An 18,660-nucleotide genomic window follows, 5' to 3' on the forward strand; every position below is an offset into this window, starting at 1 on the left:
GTAACTCTTTAGAAATAGAAACAATTCATTATTTATATATAAGTTTTTTATAGTAATGATGTTGTGTAAGCTCAGTGGAAATTATCAAAAATAGCTGCATCCACAAGTTTCCTTGCACCACGCTTGCCCAAGTATTTCTGTGTGGCTCTTCCATTTTCAACAAGGGATTGAATTTTCCTGGAAATACTTGCAACCTCCAGAAAAGCCAGGATGATACCTGGAGCTTAAGACTGATACTTAAGCAATGAAGTGACGAAAACGACTATCTTTAACCAAAAGCTTTTCTACGCTATCAATGTCACTGTCACCTGCCTGAAGCTTAACATCATGGGACTCCAGACTTTTGATAAGCCTGCAGGATTTTTGAAAGGAAACCACCAGAAAGTACTTAGAAGATAAAAGCCAAAACATATCTGTGGTACAAACTAGAGTACATTACTTTTTGCAAACTTTAGAAAATATAGACACAAATGTCTAAACAAAGTCTGAAATGATATTAATATAAAGCCCACATCAACAGTGGTTATCTATAGGGAATAGGGGTTGATCTTTACCTCCTTCTTTATAGTTTTGTTATAATCTGCGTTCTTTACAATGACTATTTATAATGAGAGAAAAACTATTTTCAAATTTAAATAAAAGATGTTTCTTTGACCTGGTAAGAGGAGTAACAGTACATTGTTATGAGGGGGAAAAGCTTAGCATAGTGCAAAATATATACCACTAAATATATGTACATATACAAATCTATAACTGAGGATAAATCTGGAATGAAATATGCCAAGATATTAACTCTGATTACTGGTAGAGAAAGGTTGTAATGGATAAATTTTTTCTTTTTTTTTTAAACTGCAAATTTGCTACAAGGAACGTATATTGTATCTGCAAATGGGGAAAATGACAGTTATTTTTAAATAAGCTTATTACGTATTAGATTAAATCAGCTGCCTGAGATGTGTACACAGACACCATTCAGCTCTACTGGGCTTAAACCACTTCTTCATTTCATGGGAGGAGTGACTCAAAATAAAGTAACGGGCAAAATTGACACTTCTGAATTCAGCTGCTAATCCTCTGATTGAACACCAGCCGTATTCTTCCCTGGGCCTGGGGCACATACATCTGCACTTGCCAGAATTAGCTGACCTGCTCCATGCGGGTAACATGATTGGTCTCTGTGAGACTCAGGCCACATTACTGCATCTCAAGTCATTGACTCCTTTCGTGAAGCAGAAAGGGGTGATGCACTCTCTTGAGGTGTCCCCCAACACCAACATCTAAGATCTATAAACAGGATTGTTAACACATCTTCCTTTTTTTTGTTTTTTCTTTTTTCCTTGAGACAGGGTCTCACTCTATCACCCAGGCTGGGGTACAGTGAAATGATCATGGCTCACTGCAGCCTCGAACTCCCGGGTTCAAGTGATCCTCCCTCAGCCTCCCAAGTAACTGGGAGTAGCTGAGAACACAAGTGCACACCACCATGCCTGGAAATTTTTTTTGTTTTTTATAGAGATGGGGTTTTGCCATGTGGTCCAGGCTGGCCTCAAACTCCTGGACTTAAGCCTCCCAAGTGCTGGGGTTATAGGTGTCAGCCATCACACCCAGCCAAACCGTCTCCTTTCTGTGTACATCTGTCTTACCAAGTTTACCATCTGTCTTAAATTTCTCCTAAAGAAGATACCTTACCAGAGATAATTAGGTGCAGTGGATAAGTTCATGAGCTGCAGGCCAGATGGCCTTGGATTAGAACTCACGCTTTGTCCCCTTCTAGGGGTCTGAGCGGCTTTGGCCAAGTGAATAGAGCCTTGATTTTCTTATCTACAAAATGAAGCTGATAATAAAAGTGCTTACGTTTAAGAGTTACTATGAGTATTAAACGGGGGGTGGGGGCAGGGGCGGCGGCAGAAATGCATGGAAAATACTTAACACAATACTTGGTGTATACTGGCTTATACTTATACATATCAAGTAAATGGTAGATGATAATGATAAATATGTTGCCTATTGGGCAAAATAATTTTTGTAATAAGTAATCTATTACTGACTTTTGCCAAGTGTTAAGAATATATAAAACACTCACGTCTTGTATTTTTTGCAAGTATTCAGAAATAAGTAAAATGTGCTCATGGTTGATGAGATGGTTGATGAGACAGTACAAAGTTAAAAAGGGTTAGATGCCTTCAAAAGCTGCCCAAATTCTAAAGACATTTAGTACTGCCCTGCCACCTTCTGATGGACTAATGCTTTTATGTGTAAAATGAGTACCTCTGGATCCTTGATAGGATTCGCCTGCTACAAATGCACACCATGTTTTTATTTATGTTTTGATAGTTTGTTTTGACCCAAGGCCTGTGTCTTGTCTTGCTTTTCGATAGTCTCCCTTTTGATATCCATGGCTGCCGCTAGTGCTGGTGGCCTTGGAAATCCACCACATTTTCTGGCAGAGAACACAACACTTGATTCCGTCTGGAGCTGCTCAACTTTGGGCCTCATTAGCAGGCTGAGGCTTATATCAGCACAGCACATCCCTCCCCCAACATCGATGCAGGGACTGATCCAGCCCTGTGGCAGCCTGGGAGGGAGGGAAAATGAGCTGGGAAGCAACCAGACACTGAAGCTTGGCTGGCGTTTTGTGGAGCAGAGTGAGCATACACAGCTATCTGTCCTTCAGTGCCATTACTGATGTTGCCATTATTGTTACTATAATGGTTGGGACTGTTGTTCTGTGTCTTAAGGAGACCACATACTCACCACTGGCTATGCACCAGGAGCTATTCAAAGGACATTACAAACCTCACCTCGTTTATCTTCACAGCAGTCCTCTACATGAGGAAACTTAAGAAATAAAGTCACTTGCCCAATATCACACAGCTGTCAACTCCAGAGCACAAGATCCAGCCAGAGCTGAAACCTTATCCACACCACCTTAGTATGGTGCTAAGAGGCCACCCACAACTCTCACCTATTCAAGCTCAGGTGAATATAAGAAGTTGGTGGGAACATGATGTGACAGTGGTCAGCAAGAAGCCACGCCACCCAGTATCAAATATGACCAGAACTCCTGATGATGGCTTCTGGGGAAACTGACTGTCAATTAAAATGGAGAAAACACTTGCACTCCAGCCTGGGCAACAGAGCAAAACTCCATCTCAAAAAAAAAAAAAAAAAAAAGAAAAAAGAAAAAATGGGGAAAACACAATGACCCAATAATAGCAAAACAAAAACCTTTCCTTTCAAGCTATATGAAAGGCTGTGCCCATCACGTATCTCACATGTATTAATGGCTTCAAGGACAATTCCTTTTACTGTCTATTTAACCAAACATTTTTGTGACTTAATATACCAAATTATAATAAAACAAGGCCCACTCTATTGGTGTATTCATGTAGTACTTTTATTATGCATGTAAAAAAAGACAGTAGTCTGAATTGATGAGGTACAAAAGTCAGAGAGCAATTCTGCAAAGTAAAGGCAATACTGGCTGGTCTTAACTTCTCTGCAACACTGTTACTGCAGACATGGATGTCTATAACATAGGAATACGAGAACGTGGATTTGAGTTCAGTAGTCTAGCATTAGATTTTGTGGATTGCCATTCCAGTTCAACTCTTTCTACTTAGCTGTGTAAAACTGGATAAGTCACTTAACCTCCATAAACCTCAGTTTCTTCATCTGCAAAACAGAGTATAACAATAAATATCTCATGGTTTATTGGGAGAATTCAAGGATGCAATCTATGTAAAGACTTTGCACAATGTCTGGCAACATTTCAAGTGACTGATAAATGTAAACTACTGTGTGTTTTATACCTTAAATTATCTGATTTGGCCCCAAATCATTTGTAAGCTATTTCAGCAGTCTCATCATCTTTCTTTAAAAAATGCAACTGTTGTCTGAACACCTGTTAGGTGATAAGAAATATACTGAATGCTTTGTATGTGTATTACTTCTAATCCACCCACTAATCACATAATTTAGAAATTATTGTCATCAATTAATTGTTAAAAACACCAGAATTCAACAGACAGTAAGACAGCCCATGCTTTTTCTATGACATCTCCCATCCCAACCAAGAAGTGGATATGAATGTTATCTTGCTGCCCAGGGCATCGAGATCAGGTACTGAAGGCTGACAATCCCTAATCTTGCCATCTTAGCCCAGACAATGACACTAGAAATTAGCTTTGGCATCCAATGTGGCATCCAGCCCCTGTGAAGACAGCACTCTTGTCCACCACAGATCTTCCATCATGGCCACTGCAGCAGGGAATTGTTCCCTTTGTCCATGGTGGCTTTGCCACAAAGGGTCCACTTGTGGTCTTCAGTTAAATATTTGCTTTAATAAAGTGACAAATGTTTAAAACTTCATCTTTTTTGTAGCCTTTGAGTTCAACTTGCAAATCTTATCATTCTACTTATAAGCTGAAAATTATAAGTTTAAAATGTAATTCACTTTCAAGGGGGCTTTTGGACTTAAATAATTCAAGTTAGATACACTAAACTCCCTTAAGTAATCAGTATCATTTACAAATTTAATTTAATTTTTAATTTTTCTTAAACATTTTAAACTGCATTTACAAACTCATTATACCCATTTTCTTTTCTTAAAGTACTTCAATTTCTGACCTGGAAAGCAAAATCTACTAAGTATTAAATTGCACCAGTAACTCCCTAACAAATTAAAATAAAAGATTCCATATACTTTAAAAGCATTGCAATATTGTTTATAATCTTTGTCAAAAACTTTATCTTTCAACATAAAAATTACAAGAGTAATGGTAACTACTCAACTAAACATAGAAAGTAGAATCAATATCTACTTTGTCAGTTACTTTAATATTCCGAGTTATCTTAAACAGTAGAAACACATCAACTAAAAAATGTACGCAGATTACTAATAATTGATAAGCATTAATTATCATGGGTTTCAGAAATTTTATCATGTTTACTAAATTCTAAACCTTCCTTGGGTTAAAAGTAACATAACCAGTAACTAAATACTTTTGAATCCCATGTCATAGACAAGGTCACAACTCTAAGGAGCTGGGGTAGCCCTCTCGGTCGGGGTAGGTGTGATTTTTTGCATGCTCTTGATAGCCAGGTTGGAGCTATCTTTACCAGTTGCCAAGACAAATGGGAAGCCCCATACAGAGTGATCTCAAAGATGGCATCCCGGGGTTCCCTCAGGATGTGCTACTACATGTTTTTACCAAATTCTGTCTGATTTTGGCAGAGAGAAGTCAGCTACCCTCTGTAAGGCTAAAGCTATTACATTTACTTAACCATGTGAATGTTGTTTTGTTGGAGTGTTGTTGTTGTTGTTAGGAATTTCAGTTGCTTTCTAATTGCCTGAGAACCTTGATGTCATGCAATAGAATTCTTTACACTCAGCTGTAATTCTTACAAACTTCTATAAATTGTGTCACTTGATTTAGGGAGATTTAAATTCAAACCCCTCACTGTAACCTCAATAAATTTGGTGCTACACTCCTTTATGAATTTCTTTACTGCCTGACTGAATTCAGAATTATTTTCATTTCCTTCTTGTCTAGAAGGGGCAATATTAGTTATAATTCGGTTTGGCTGTTAAGGGACCAAAAAATTAAAATAATACGTTGAAAACTTTACATAAGAGAGAGAAGTTTCTGTTTCTCTCACATGAAGTCCCAAGGTGAGTTATAGGGCTGGAGTTGCAATTTCATAATGATCACAGTTCGTCAACATATGGCTTCCACTTCATGGTCATACTGGCTACCAGTAGCCATAATAAAATCACACGCCCACAACTAGTTACAAGGGAGGTTGGGAAATAATTTATTCCAGGTAGCCATATATTCAGTGAAAAAGTGACAGGTCCCCTAGTACGTGAGGACAAGTGCTGAGGGGTAGAAGAAGTGTTGTGAAGATACTGGCAGCATGCATACTGGAGATCAAGTACCCAGGCACTGAGGGATGTTGGGGAGCTTCCTCACAAAGACACGGTAGTAGCATATCTGACAGCACCCCAAAACTGAAGATGTTGGAGAGCACGGGGGTTGTGGGCAGAAGAGACAGAACAGCTGGGAAACTGATCACACTGATTAATAACAGTAAATTAAGGAAATAATATATAGAGGATGAGAGCAAGTTTCTTGCTGTTGGAGGAACTTCCAAATATGGAAAGGTAGGAGGCTAGAAAGAACCCTGAGATTTAGGAATGAAATTGGAAGTATCAATATAAACCCAATATTTTTGGTAACACAGGTAGACAAATAAATGGTTGCAGATGCATGTTTATGTATGTAAATGTACATAGGGAGGGTAAAATGAATGTGTATATTTTATACTCATATATATTTGTGTGTATACTTACATATACATATATGTGTGTTTGTGTATGTCTATACACACATACTACCTCCTGAGATGGCCTAAAAGCAGTAATGCCTCAACAGTAATGATCACAAACAAGTGCCCAGATCTTAGTTTCTAAATACAATCTTTCCCAAAAACAACCAGGGTTTCTTAGAGAAATGGCTGATACCAGGGCTGGGACAAAAAAGGGATAAGTTGACATTGAGATATCTTGTGCCATAAAGTAAGGAAGTGGTTAAAGAAATGATGAAGCCATGTCAAAAAGGCTTAGAAATGAAAGACAATCCACTGAATAAAACAAGAATTCGTAAGTCTTTGATGATATAAATAAGGTAGAAGAACAGGCTCTTCCTTATACTAAAATACCAACCAGCAAATGATGGAAATGAGAATACCAATTGACAACCCCATGAAAGCCAAGACTGGTGGGTGGAAGGTAGACAAGGACCATGATATTGGCATAATCTCAGAACATCTCCCCACAAAATTCAAATCACTTACAAAGGAAAAATGTCAAATCTAAGGTGGAGAAACCTGGCATGTACCAATGTGAACAGAGTGGGACAGGCCATGTGCCTTCTGATGGGACATATATAAACACTTGACTATCATTTCTATGGCATTTTCCCCGAGTGGGGGACCTGATTCTGGCCATGTGGAGACACTGGATGGATCCAGGTTGAGAGACGTTCTAAACAGAAAAAGACCTGACTTTTTTTTAAAACTATCAAAGACTAGAAAGACAGGGAAAGATCAAAGAAATGTTCCAGAGTAGAAGAGATCCAATAGACATGATAACTAAATGTGACATGTGTTCCTGACTGAAATCCTGGGTCAGAAAAGAAGGACAATCGCCACTGGGATAGCTGGTGACCTTTCAGTGGGCTTTGTGTCCTGGGGGGCAGCAGTGCATCAACACTGTTTCCTGACTTGGAGGGCTGAATGCTGATGGTGTAGGAGAGTGTTTTCACTATTTAGGAAATACATACCCACAATGTTTAGCAGAAATGCAGTATCACGTTTGTAGCTTCCTCTCAAATGCTAACGGTTGAGGAATCAGGATGAAAATGATATGGGAGATGTCTATATTGTACTTGGAATTTTTCCCTAAGCTTGAATTTATTTCAAAATAGAGAATTAAATTTTTAAAATATCAAGGCTCTATTATTCAGGAAGAGCGGGAGCCCTGAGAGACAGCTAGTGGTGTCTGCTGGTCAAGCCACAAAACATCCTACTGTATCTGCATATATTTCTTGGCTTTGTTCAGCTCTAAAGTCACAGACCTTCTTCCCATTGTCTCTGCTGCAGTTTTTTGCTATAACACCATTATCTCCTTCCCACTAGCCCATCAATGAGATCCCAACCTGCTTTATGTACAAACCAGTAAGAGTTACCAAGGACAACATGTTTTGGGGCCGGATAACAAGATGTTTTTAACATCACAGTTTCTGCGCTGCATTTAAGAGCTGTTGGACACAATTCTGCCCTGAGGCAGAAATTGAGCAGGAATAGAAGAATGGAAATAACACAAGTAAAAAAACTGGAGAACAGGCAACATGGGGAGTATGAGATAACATAAATCGTAAAGTAGAAAACAGAAATGAGAGCAGGTTTCAGAGACATAGGCTTGGACTGCCTTTCTACCATGCACAAGACCACCTGTCGCTAGCATGATGACTAGTGTTTATTCCAAAAGTCTGGTCAATGAATCTCCCAACTAGAATTCTAGACATGTTTCTTTTAAGTATAACTTAATGTTTGCAGACTTCTCCCTCACTGGAAGAGGAATAAAGGATAGGAAGAATCTCCTTCCTAGTATCAAATGCATGCAACTCTACCTCTACAATACTCAGGTGACATTTTAAGAAATACTAATATCACATATTACATAGACGTAACATGGCTCTTAGCATCAATTTGAGATGAACAGAGATCGTTCTGATGTTTCTAATGAAGAGAATAACCTTTTTGCTCCTTTTCATATTCAAATTTATATTCCATAAACATTTATTGAATTCCTACCACGTCCTGACCACCAAGGTGAATAAAACAGCCAGTGCCCTCACTGAGCCCAAGGAGACAGACCCATAAACTAACAAATTTCATAAAAAGCACAGATGACATCAAATTATTTGTTCACTATTTCTGGGCTTACCAAATGAAGTTGCAGACCTCATGTTTTTATTTGAACTTACTTTATTCTGTTATAAGGTTAGGAACCACATTAGGGAAACTGAACACAAACTAGCTGTAGTCTTTATCATTTAAATATATAGAGCTGTATGATATATCACTGAAATCAGTGGTTTCCATGGTCCATGGCTGAGCGGCATCAGAATCACTTGTAGTGCATCTTAATAATTGAGAAATCCAAAGCAAATGAATCAAAATCCCAGGAATTAGATTCAGAGTTCAGTGTTTCTAAGAGTTCCACAGAGGGTTTTGATGCACAGGCAAGTTTGGGCACCCCTGAAAAATCACTGTCACTGATTCTACCAAGAGTGACCTTAGGCTTGCAGAACACTAGTTTGCAAAATAACAATCAGTCCCTTGGCTGTGAAATTCACAAGACTGCTGATTAATTCATTTGAATATGATTAAACTGCTTCCCTCTACCCTGGGTTTGTGAATGGTGAGGAACTGAAACGTTTGCTGCACCATCCATTATTAATGCTCTTCCCTTCCAAAGCCTGTCCCTTTGACCTCTGTTTATTCCGGCTTGTCTCCTATATGAGTTTATAGTTACTTATTATTATGTGCAATTACATCATGCTGAGTGTGAGGACACCCCACAAGCTGTTAGCTATATTAACTTAATAATAGATTTCAGGGTGTGATTTCCAATTAATTTCATTTTCCATATGCACATGCAGCTCCATGGAAAGCCAAAATTATAGAGTAGCCATATGGTGCCTCATAAGAAACAATTAAAACTAATTTTCTATTCTTTGACACCAAAAAAAAAAAAAAAAATACGGTTTACATGCCACAGAGAAAATTGAAATTTGAACAGCCTCGGTAGCTCTCTAGAAAGAAGATGCCCCACTTTCCACATTTGTGGCATGGATATTCCAGTTTCTTGCTTGGCCGTGGTGGACTATGGTCCCACCTGGCTTGTAGTACATTTGATTCCTCACTGTTCTTACCCTGCTGGACTGTCTTAGAGCAGCTGTGAGAAAGTGCTGGGCTTTCTGTTTCACAAGAGTGAGTTGAGTTGAAAAGAATAGTTTGTCTCCTTCAGAAACAGATGATTTCCGGTAATAGAAATTTCCTACTGATCCGTTTCCAAAAGGCAGTATCTGAAACACTGGGGCAATCTGCCCAAGCCAAGGAGAAAAATAAGCAGTTCCACTAAAAGCAGATGATGATTGTTAAGCAATAATGTAACTGTCCAAGGCTGAGGAGGGCTGGAGAAAGGGTCGCTCCCCTGGAAACTCAGGCTGGTTTGTTAACCAGATCAATGATCCTTTTACCCTTACCATATGGTATAATTTTGTTAATTCCCAAGGGCCCTATTTTATTAAAATCATCAGCTGGGAGGTTAAAAAATAAAAAATGAAACATATCAAGACCCTATTCAAGATAAGCAGTGTGACAAAAAATAAAAATCCTTGATTTTATTAGTCTTTCATATAGGTTTCAACTCTTAAAACTATCAAGTTTTTATGTGGGAGCAAATAATATCACAATGTATTAATAGATTTACTCTAAAGAATACCTTAACTACGTTGCTGAAAACATGACTAAATCTCATTATTTTTTATTTTATGACAAATCCCTTCTACAGCTAACATACGTGCACAAGGGTGGCAGAAGGAACCATGAGAAGGTAGAGTAAGAGGTCAGAGGTCTTTTTCGATTGTAGTATGAACGAGTAAGAAAACTACCTGTATTAGTCTGTTTTCACAATGCTATAAATATACTACCTGAGACTGGGTAATTTATAAAGGAAAGAGGTTTAACTGACTCACTGTTCCGCATGGCTGGGGAGGTCTCAGGAAACTTACAATCATGGCAGAAGGTGAAGGAGAAGCAAATACCTTCTTCACAAGGTAGCAGGAGAGAGAGATAGCACAAGGAAGTGCCACACTTTAAAACCATCAGATCTTGTGAGAACTCACTCACCATCATGAGAACAGCATAGGGGAAACCACCGCCATGATCCAATCACCTCCCACCAAATTCCTCCCTCCATACAGGGAGGGGACTCCAATTCGGATTTCAATGCAAGATGAAATATTGGTGAGGACAGAGCCAGACTACCATCTATATGTTTACTGTAAAGAAAAAAATAAAATTATCAGAGGTGAAACTTTGTGAAACTGACATCAAAATTTTTACCAATAAAAATTATAATGGCAGAGAATTTTTCACAGAGAATTTTCAGGGCAATAAAACTACTCTGTATAATGCTATAAGGACAAATATATATAATTAGACATTTGTCCAAACCCATAGAATGTACAACACCAAGAGTAAACCCTAATGTAAATTATGAACTTGGCCTGATGATGTGTCAATGTAGGTTCATCAATCGTAATGAATGTACCATGCTGGTGGGGGATGTTGGTATTGGGGGAGGCTGTGCAGTTGTCGGGGGAGGGGTATATGGGAACTCTGTACCTTCCTCTCAATTTTGTTATGAACCTAAAACTTCTCTAAAAAATTAAATCTTTAAAATATATCTATATAATGGCTACAAGGAAGAAAAACTCTAAGTCCATGTTAGGAGTTGAACTGTGTCTCAGGACCTCTGAAAATTCAGTTGTTGAAGTCCTAATCCCCAGAAACTGAGAATGTGATCTTATTTGGAGATTGAGTTGTTGAAGATGCAGTTAGCTAAAATGGCATCATTAGGGTAGGCCATAATCCAATACAATAGTATCTTTTAAAAAATGAGAAATTTGGGAGACTCTGCTTCACAGCCTCAGAAGGGCCAACCCTGCCACCACCTTGAGCAGGGACTTCTAACCTCCAGAACCATGAAACAATCAATTTCTGTTGTTCAGGTCACCCAGTTTGTGCTACTTTGCTATGGCAGCCCTAGGAAATAAATATAGCCATGTTAGGTAAAGAACGTGAGATCTGGGTTCAAGCCCTGAGTCTGCCAACCACTAGCTATGCAAGAGATGTCTCTAAGCTAGATGTCCTCTCTCAACCAGGAAGGTAAGTAAAGCCTCCTCACAGCATTGTGGTGGGGGTTCAATTATTAATACACAAAGCCGGTGAGGTACAATGTACAAGTCTTGGTGTCTAGGTAAGTGTAGGATACCTAAATGGTTCTCTTCACTATGCCCCCAACCCCAGGAGTAAACTCAGCCTTTGGGAGTGTGGGAGAACCTCATCTGCTTTTCTAGTGCCTCCTCCAAGTAACTCCTTCACACACAGAACATCACACCAGGTCTTCCTTTTCATATCCCTGGAACCACAAACTCTCCCCCTCCTTCAGGTTAGGAAACAGCAAGACGTGGAAGTTTCTGCCTAGCCTTGAGATGCCTTAGGTGTCAGTGATCAATTAAAACAGATAAGCTCCCCTCCCAACTCCATTTTTTTCCTTCCCTCCTCACCCACACTCACAAAATGAATATAAAACCAGCATAACAAACACAAACTCAGCAAGTTAATACTAACGCAATTGTGTACTTTGCTCATCTAGAATGCTAGGCTTCTGACTCCACAAGATGCTAAAAGAACACAAAAAAATCCTCTTTGATGGCTAACATTTTCTTCCTTAAGGTAAGAACAACACAATCCTCTCAGTCATTTAGTATTATATTAGCTTTATCTTATTCCCAGGGGCTGCTTGCACCTTGTTTTAGTGACTCCTACAAACTGCACTGGTCAGAACTACTGTAGCAAGCACTGTGCCTATTATCTTTTTGTAGTAAAGGGTTAATGAACATTAAATACCACATTTATTTACTCTCATGCTGGTGGACACAGATGAGCACCAAGAAAATGAAGTGGGTCTTTAACATCTTTTGCTTTCTTGCATTAAAAACACTGCCAACATTAAGACATCCTTACATGTGGCATTTCCTGCTCAGCAAGTCTTAAAGTTCCCAACAACTATTTAAAAAATATCCTCTTGTGTGGCAAAATAATAACAAAAAGCTTAGCAACAGCAGCCCCCTACTTGCTTTGCTAAATAACCGTTCCAACAAAAAATGAGCTGGAAGATTAAGTGTATCTTCATATTCCAGCAAAAATAAATATTTAGAAAAATATGTTAGGCCAAACAAGTCCCCCTTCAACATTCAATCAACCATTCCCTCTTGGTTTGTCTTTCTTTTTGCCCCCCTACTCTATTCCCATCCCTTCCATAAAAATGACTAAAGAAATTCTTGCAGTTTCACTTTTCAGTGGTGCATAATCAAAATTCAAAGGAAATTAAATAGCTGTCATTATCATGAGTATCCTAGGATTCTTTATTCCTGTACATACCAGTTCAAAAGGCAGACAAATGCACACATGACACACACTTACATGCAGAGTTCTTACAAATAAATCTTGTGTATTGCTAGTTTGCTATTACACTGTAGGGTTTTAAAAGCTCAATACATCATTTGAAAAGGTTCCTCCTCTACTTATCAGTCACTTATCCATGAAGCCTTTGGTTTCCAGCAAGGTTTTGGCCCCTCTTCCTACACCCCTGCCCCTACTCCCTTCTGCATTTTTGATGGGGGAAATGGGAACAGGTCAGTGAGAGGATGAACGACTACTGTAAATACTTAAAGACATCAATTGACCATTCATCCCCCCTTCCCTTAGGGTAGAGTCCAGTAGAGCACAAACATTCTCACTGTAAACTCTTCCTTGTGTAATCTTCAGTCATAGTGGCATTCCTTCATGTTTGCACTTTAAATATACCCTAAAAGCCCAAGTTCTCCAATTCAGTTTTTTTGTTTGTTTTTTTTTTTGAGACAGAGTCTTGCTCTGTCACCAAGGCTGGAGTGCAGCAGTGCCATCTCGGCTCATTGCAACCTCCACTTCCCAGGTTCAAGTGATTCTCCTGCCTCAGCTTCCCAAGTAGCTGGGATTACAGGCACAGGCCACCATGCCCAGCTAAATTTTGTATTTTTAGTAGAGACAGGGTTTCGCCATGTTGGCCAGGCTGGTCTCGAACTCCTGGCCTCAAATGATCCACCTGCCGCAGCCTCCCAAAGTGCTGGGATCACAGGCGTGAGCCACTGCGCCCGGCCTCCAATTTAGATTTTATTTGGCAAAACATTCCCCCAATTTTATGTAATAAAGATGCAGCACGATGGTTAATGGTCAAGTGTATGGCAAGTTGCATACACTTTTTCAACACTAATTTCCTTGTCTGTAAGAAGACAACCACTCTGGTCACCTCATAATGACACTGAAGAATTTAAATGACTTGATTTTTATAAATTGCCTCAATACAACATCTGGCACATAGTTAAATGCTCAGTAGGTGGTAGTCCCTACTATTACTGCTATTAGTATTATCCTTATTAAGGCTAAAAAGTCTTGCAAACCTTAGTGAACTGTGTATGTATGTACACATATAAAAAATTATCTATATCTTTTAATACCGTAATTTCTAAAATGGAAAACTATATAATTTACACATTTTTCATTTTAATGATTAAATTAATAAAGTAATTATATGTTTGATATAGCTTAGGAATTATAATGTGTACGATTTACATTCTATTTATTATTTTAATTATTTCTATTATAGTTTATTTATAATTTTAATATATAATACATATATACATAATATATAATACATACATTTTTTAATGTATTCTCTGAAAATGTCCCAATACCACAGAATCTGACTGGAAAATACCTTGGGTACTCCCAAAACCAGAGCCAGAAATCGCTATATTAGAAAATTAGTTTTGGGATTCTAACTGCTGTGAACAGTGAAAAACAGTATGGTCTCTTAAGGAGTTCCAAGCCTCTTGTTCTGACTTTGAACAAGGCCCGTCATGTGTAAAATGCTCTATTGTTCCTCATTCCCTAAGTTTCAAGTCCTCAACTAGCTCAGAATAACACATTTAGCCTTTAACAGGAATAGTGAGAAAAATGAGACAGTGAGGATGTGTAAGTAAATATGATACGTCCATAAACTAGAACACCATGAAGCGTTTGAAAAGAATGAAGCTGTTCCCTATACACTGACCTCTAAAATATTGTTCAGTGAAAAAATGGCAAAGTACAGAACACAATGTACAATATGCTCCCTTTTAGGCTGAATGGGGCTCACTTAACTTCTTAAGGAGCCTGCAACTGAACTTTAGCATATGCTAGAAAAGAAGTACTACTAGTTGGCCGGGCGCGGTGGCTCATGTCTGTAATCCCAGCACTTTGGGAGGCCAAGGCGGGCAGATCACAAGGTCAGGAGATCGAGACCATCCTGGTTAACACGGTGAAACCCCGTCTTTACTAAAAATACAAAAAAAATTAGCTGGGAGTGATGGCAGGTGCCCGTAGTCCCAGCTACTCAGGAGGCTGAGGCAGGAGAATGGCGTGAACCCGAGAGGCGAGCTTGCAGTGAGCGGAGATCTCGCTGCTGCACTCCAGCCTGGACAACAGAGTGAGACTCTGTCTCAAAAAAAAAAAAAAAAAAAGAAAAAAGAAAAAGAAAAGAAGTACTAGTTGTCCCTGAAGCTCTCTTTTGCCAATTAAGTGATATCTGTGAAAGAATAGAGGGAGAGGGATAAAAAGAGAAAAACATTAAGAATATTATAATTTTTCCTACTAGAAAAATCAAGTGTATCTGCAACAGCAATGTAATTTGACCAATCGAACATACTCTTTCCTTCTGTAAACAGAGCGGCTGCCAGCACAGGAAGTAATAGTGTCCATTTTTTGGACTGCATTCCACTTGGAAGATTATCTCCAAAGTACTGGATTCCAGCATATACACTTTGTTGAGCTGATCTACAGGGCTCACTAGCTTTCCCCCCTCCCCTCGCTATTAATAGTACTCACTCTGATCTTTACCTCACACTTTACCTTGACTTAGACTTTCAGCAACCTGCAAAGTAATCTACCAAAACAGAGAAGGAAATATGTCAGCATGGCAAACTGTATTAGTGAAACTAGTTAGAAACAAAACGCCACAGGTATAAACTCTACATTCACCAAAATGGACATGAGTTACTAAATAAAATCCTCTCCTGCAGGTACTATGCATCCCTGTCTTAATCATCTGTGTTTCAGATTCTATACAAAACAGTTAGCAAGCTTGTCCAATCTGTGGCCCACAGGCCACATGCAGCTCAGGACAGCTTTAAATGTGGCCCAATACAAATTTGAAAACTTTCTTAAAACATTATGAGATTTTTTTGCACTTTTTTCTTTTTAGTTCATGAGCTATCTATTGTTAGTGTGTTTTATATGTGGCCCAAGACAATTCTTCTTCCACTATGGCCCAAGGAAGCCAAAAGACTGGACACCCCTGAGTCAGAGCTTGAAATCCAGGTACTGCAGTGGAAAGGTATCATATTTTTAAAATAATTAAAATAAGCCTTTCGTGCTATTTATAATCTTAGAACAATATTTTTCCTTTCTGGTGAAAATAAAATGTACCTTGTATTCTAACACAACTTCTATTCTTCCCACTGCTTTTTTTTTTTTAACAACCAAGCATACATTAAGTTTTCAAACTGTAGCATTTGAAATTAAAGTAATGAGTGAGTGACTCTGGTACCTAACAGACTCAATCAAGTCTTAACTTAAATAGTATTTTGACAGGGAAACACATTAAATATGTGCTACGTGCTGGTCACTGCACTAGGTGCTGAGTATAAGGAAGCAAATAAAACAGGTTCCTTGATTTCACTAGGATTATGTCTAGGGGAGAAAGGTCATTCCACACAAATAATTTCATAAACTATTTGATTTAGTCACATATACTCTATATAGTTCCTGATTTATATAGAGTTAGTAATAAAAACTCTACTAAATACAATATAGTCTTCTTTTAAATCAATGTACTGTAGCACTACAGGGTGCCTTGGAAATATCTATGTGAAAAGTAGTTATTTTATTATTTCAGTCTTACCCCAACTGTATAACCCAATATTAGCTATTAAAATACAAATATGCCATACTTTTAAAAAATTAAAAACTAACCTATTTCATTGGCCACTGGCTTAAGTACAAACTGTGTAACATTGGCATATAAACAAATACCCTTCATTGCCAACAGCATGAGATATGCCACTGCCCCTGAGAAGCATTTCTGACTCTCTAGCTAAAGTTTGTAAACTCTCTGGTTGCCACAATAATTTATCCAAATTTCCACTGTGATGTTTATCATATTGTACAAGAGTAATTTGTCATCCTCCATAACCTGTGAGCTCCTCAGGTGCAGGAACAATGTCTCATTCACAACGTATCCCTAGCACTCTCACTAGCGCCTAGCACCTTGGAGCCTCTCCACAATGGTCTACTAAATGCATTGGTGAAAAAGGGTGAATTGAACACTACACGGCAGCTGTCACTTAAAGTACATTTTGAGCTTCCACAAGGCAGATTCACTGCTCAAATTGGAAATGTTCTAAAAGTCTTGTTCATCTTAGCTGTCTATCCTATCTGAAAATCATTCCTTCCTTTTGTTATATTTGATTTACTGAGGCACACTCTGTTCCAGGGACCACAGTAACAACCTTGACTCAATCAGGCAAGGAGAGTATAGCGGTGGAAGGATTCACACACCTGTCCACTTAAGACAAGATTTTGCATTCAACGACAAGCACTTGAGTGAGCTACTCAAGCATCAGGCAGCTGATGAGCCTTTCTGTGATCTTACTGATTTTCCGAATACGGTGAACATTCTAGTCTGTCTTTGACCTCACAAAGTTATATTTTTACTTCTCAGGTTGCAAATTTGCAGTGGTAAAATCATCCTAAAAACTTTACAGGAAGAAAATGGTTAAGTACGTTTTAATTCATCAAATGAGAGACTTTAGTATAATCATTAGAATTACATTTGGGGGGGATATTTTAAAATATGGAAAAAATCTCATATACCATGTTAATGTTAAAAAAAGCTGAATACAACTGTATAAAGTATAATCAAAATTTTGTGAAATAAATCTATATGAAAATAGTCACATATACATATGTATCTCCACACAGAAAAATAACTTAAAGGAGTTTCAACTTTTTCAACTATGATCATGTATTATTTATAAAAATTCTGAAAATAATGCATGCTTTTCTTCTAAAGTAAAAAACATAATTTCTTAACCGGCTTTATGGTGGATTTTGCAAAGTAACAATTCCTCTACTATCTTCCAATGATTCACTTTTCTTACAATTTTAAATTATATCTTATTCATGAAAAACGCATATACCAGAAGTAAAGATGAACCACTATGTTTCTCTCTGTGGTGAATAAATTACACTTTTAAGAAATTTAAAAGATACAATTACCTAGGACATTAAAGATTAATAGTTTCCTTTATAATTATAGATTCCTTCCATCCTATGTTTTTATGCCTCATAATTGCAGTATGTCTAACCTCCTTTAAAAGGCAAGAAAGACTGGGCATGGTGGCACACGCCTGTAATCCCAGCACTTTGGGAGGCCAAGGCAGGTGCATCACTTGAGCTCAGGAATTCAAGACTAGCCTGGCAACATGGCAAAACCCATCCCTACCAAAACACAAAAAAATTAGCTGCCCATGGTGGTGTGTGCCTGTGGTCCCAGCTACTCGGAAGGCTAAGCTGGGAGGATTGCTTGAGCCTGGGAGGCAGAAGTTGTAGTGCGCCAAGATCGCGCCACTGCACTCAACCTGGGTGACAGAGTAAGAGCCTGTCTCAAAAGAAAAAAAAAAGGTGGGAGGAGGAAAAATATCAATGGAAACTTAAAAATACTTTTAAATATAAAGTAATGCTGCATTTTAATATGGCAGAACTATACTTCCTATATCAGGATTTTTTTTTTTTTTAAGTGACAGGGTATGGCTCTGTCACCCAGGATAGAGTACAGTGATGTAATCATGGCTCACTGCAGCCTCAAACTCCTGGACTCAATCAGTCCTCCTGTCTCAGCCTCCCTAGTAGCTGGGGCTACAGGTGCACACCACCACACCTGGCTAGTTTTTTTCGTTTTAACGTTTTGTCCAGGCTGGTCTCAAACTCCTGGCCTCAAGCGATCCTGCCACCTCAGTTTCCCAAAGTGCTGGGATTATAGGCATAAGCTACCTTGCCCAGCCTCCTATGTCAGGAATTTAAAGACTAAAGGAAAATGGTAATCTGAAAACTTTTTTGGCAACCACTATATTCAAGTCCTTCTTTATTCCCACTTATACAGAA

At 38.5% G+C, this 18,660-nt stretch overlaps 1 protein-coding gene across 6 annotated transcripts in view, besides 3 other annotated features; it reads right to left on the bottom strand.

Annotated features, from left to right (window-relative positions):
• Positions 1-18,660, bottom strand: part of SUCLG2 (succinate-CoA ligase GDP-forming subunit beta) — a 294,153-nt gene that overhangs the window by 188,559 nt on the left and 86,934 nt on the right. The gene's annotated exons all lie outside the window — the stretch shown is intronic.
• Positions 194-394: a silencer, noted in NCBI's record as "peak4691 fragment used in MPRA reporter construct". NCBI's record gives its function as "represses an SCP1 promoter by STARR-seq MPRAs in K562 erythroleukemia cells {active_cell/tissue: K562}" and the evidence as "EXISTENCE:reporter gene assay evidence [ECO:0000049][PMID:32103011]".
• Positions 4,145-4,294: a silencer, noted in NCBI's record as "fragment chr3:67603587-67603736 (GRCh37/hg19 assembly coordinates)". NCBI's record gives its function as "represses an EF-1alpha promoter that drives an FKBP-Casp9 reporter gene in an ReSE screen in HepG2 liver carcinoma cells {active_cell/tissue: HepG2}" and the evidence as "EXISTENCE:reporter gene assay evidence [ECO:0000049][PMID:32094911]".
• Positions 10,106-10,465: an enhancer, noted in NCBI's record as "active region_20048". NCBI's record gives its function as "activates an Ori minimal core promoter by ATAC-STARR-seq in GM12878 lymphoblastoid cells {active_cell/tissue: GM12878}" and the evidence as "EXISTENCE:reporter gene assay evidence [ECO:0000049][PMID:35858748]".

Source organism: Homo sapiens, chromosome 3, assembly GCF_000001405.40.
Source record: "Homo sapiens chromosome 3, GRCh38.p14 Primary Assembly".
In the NCBI taxonomy this organism is placed as follows: Eukaryota; Metazoa; Chordata; class Mammalia; order Primates; family Hominidae; genus Homo; species Homo sapiens.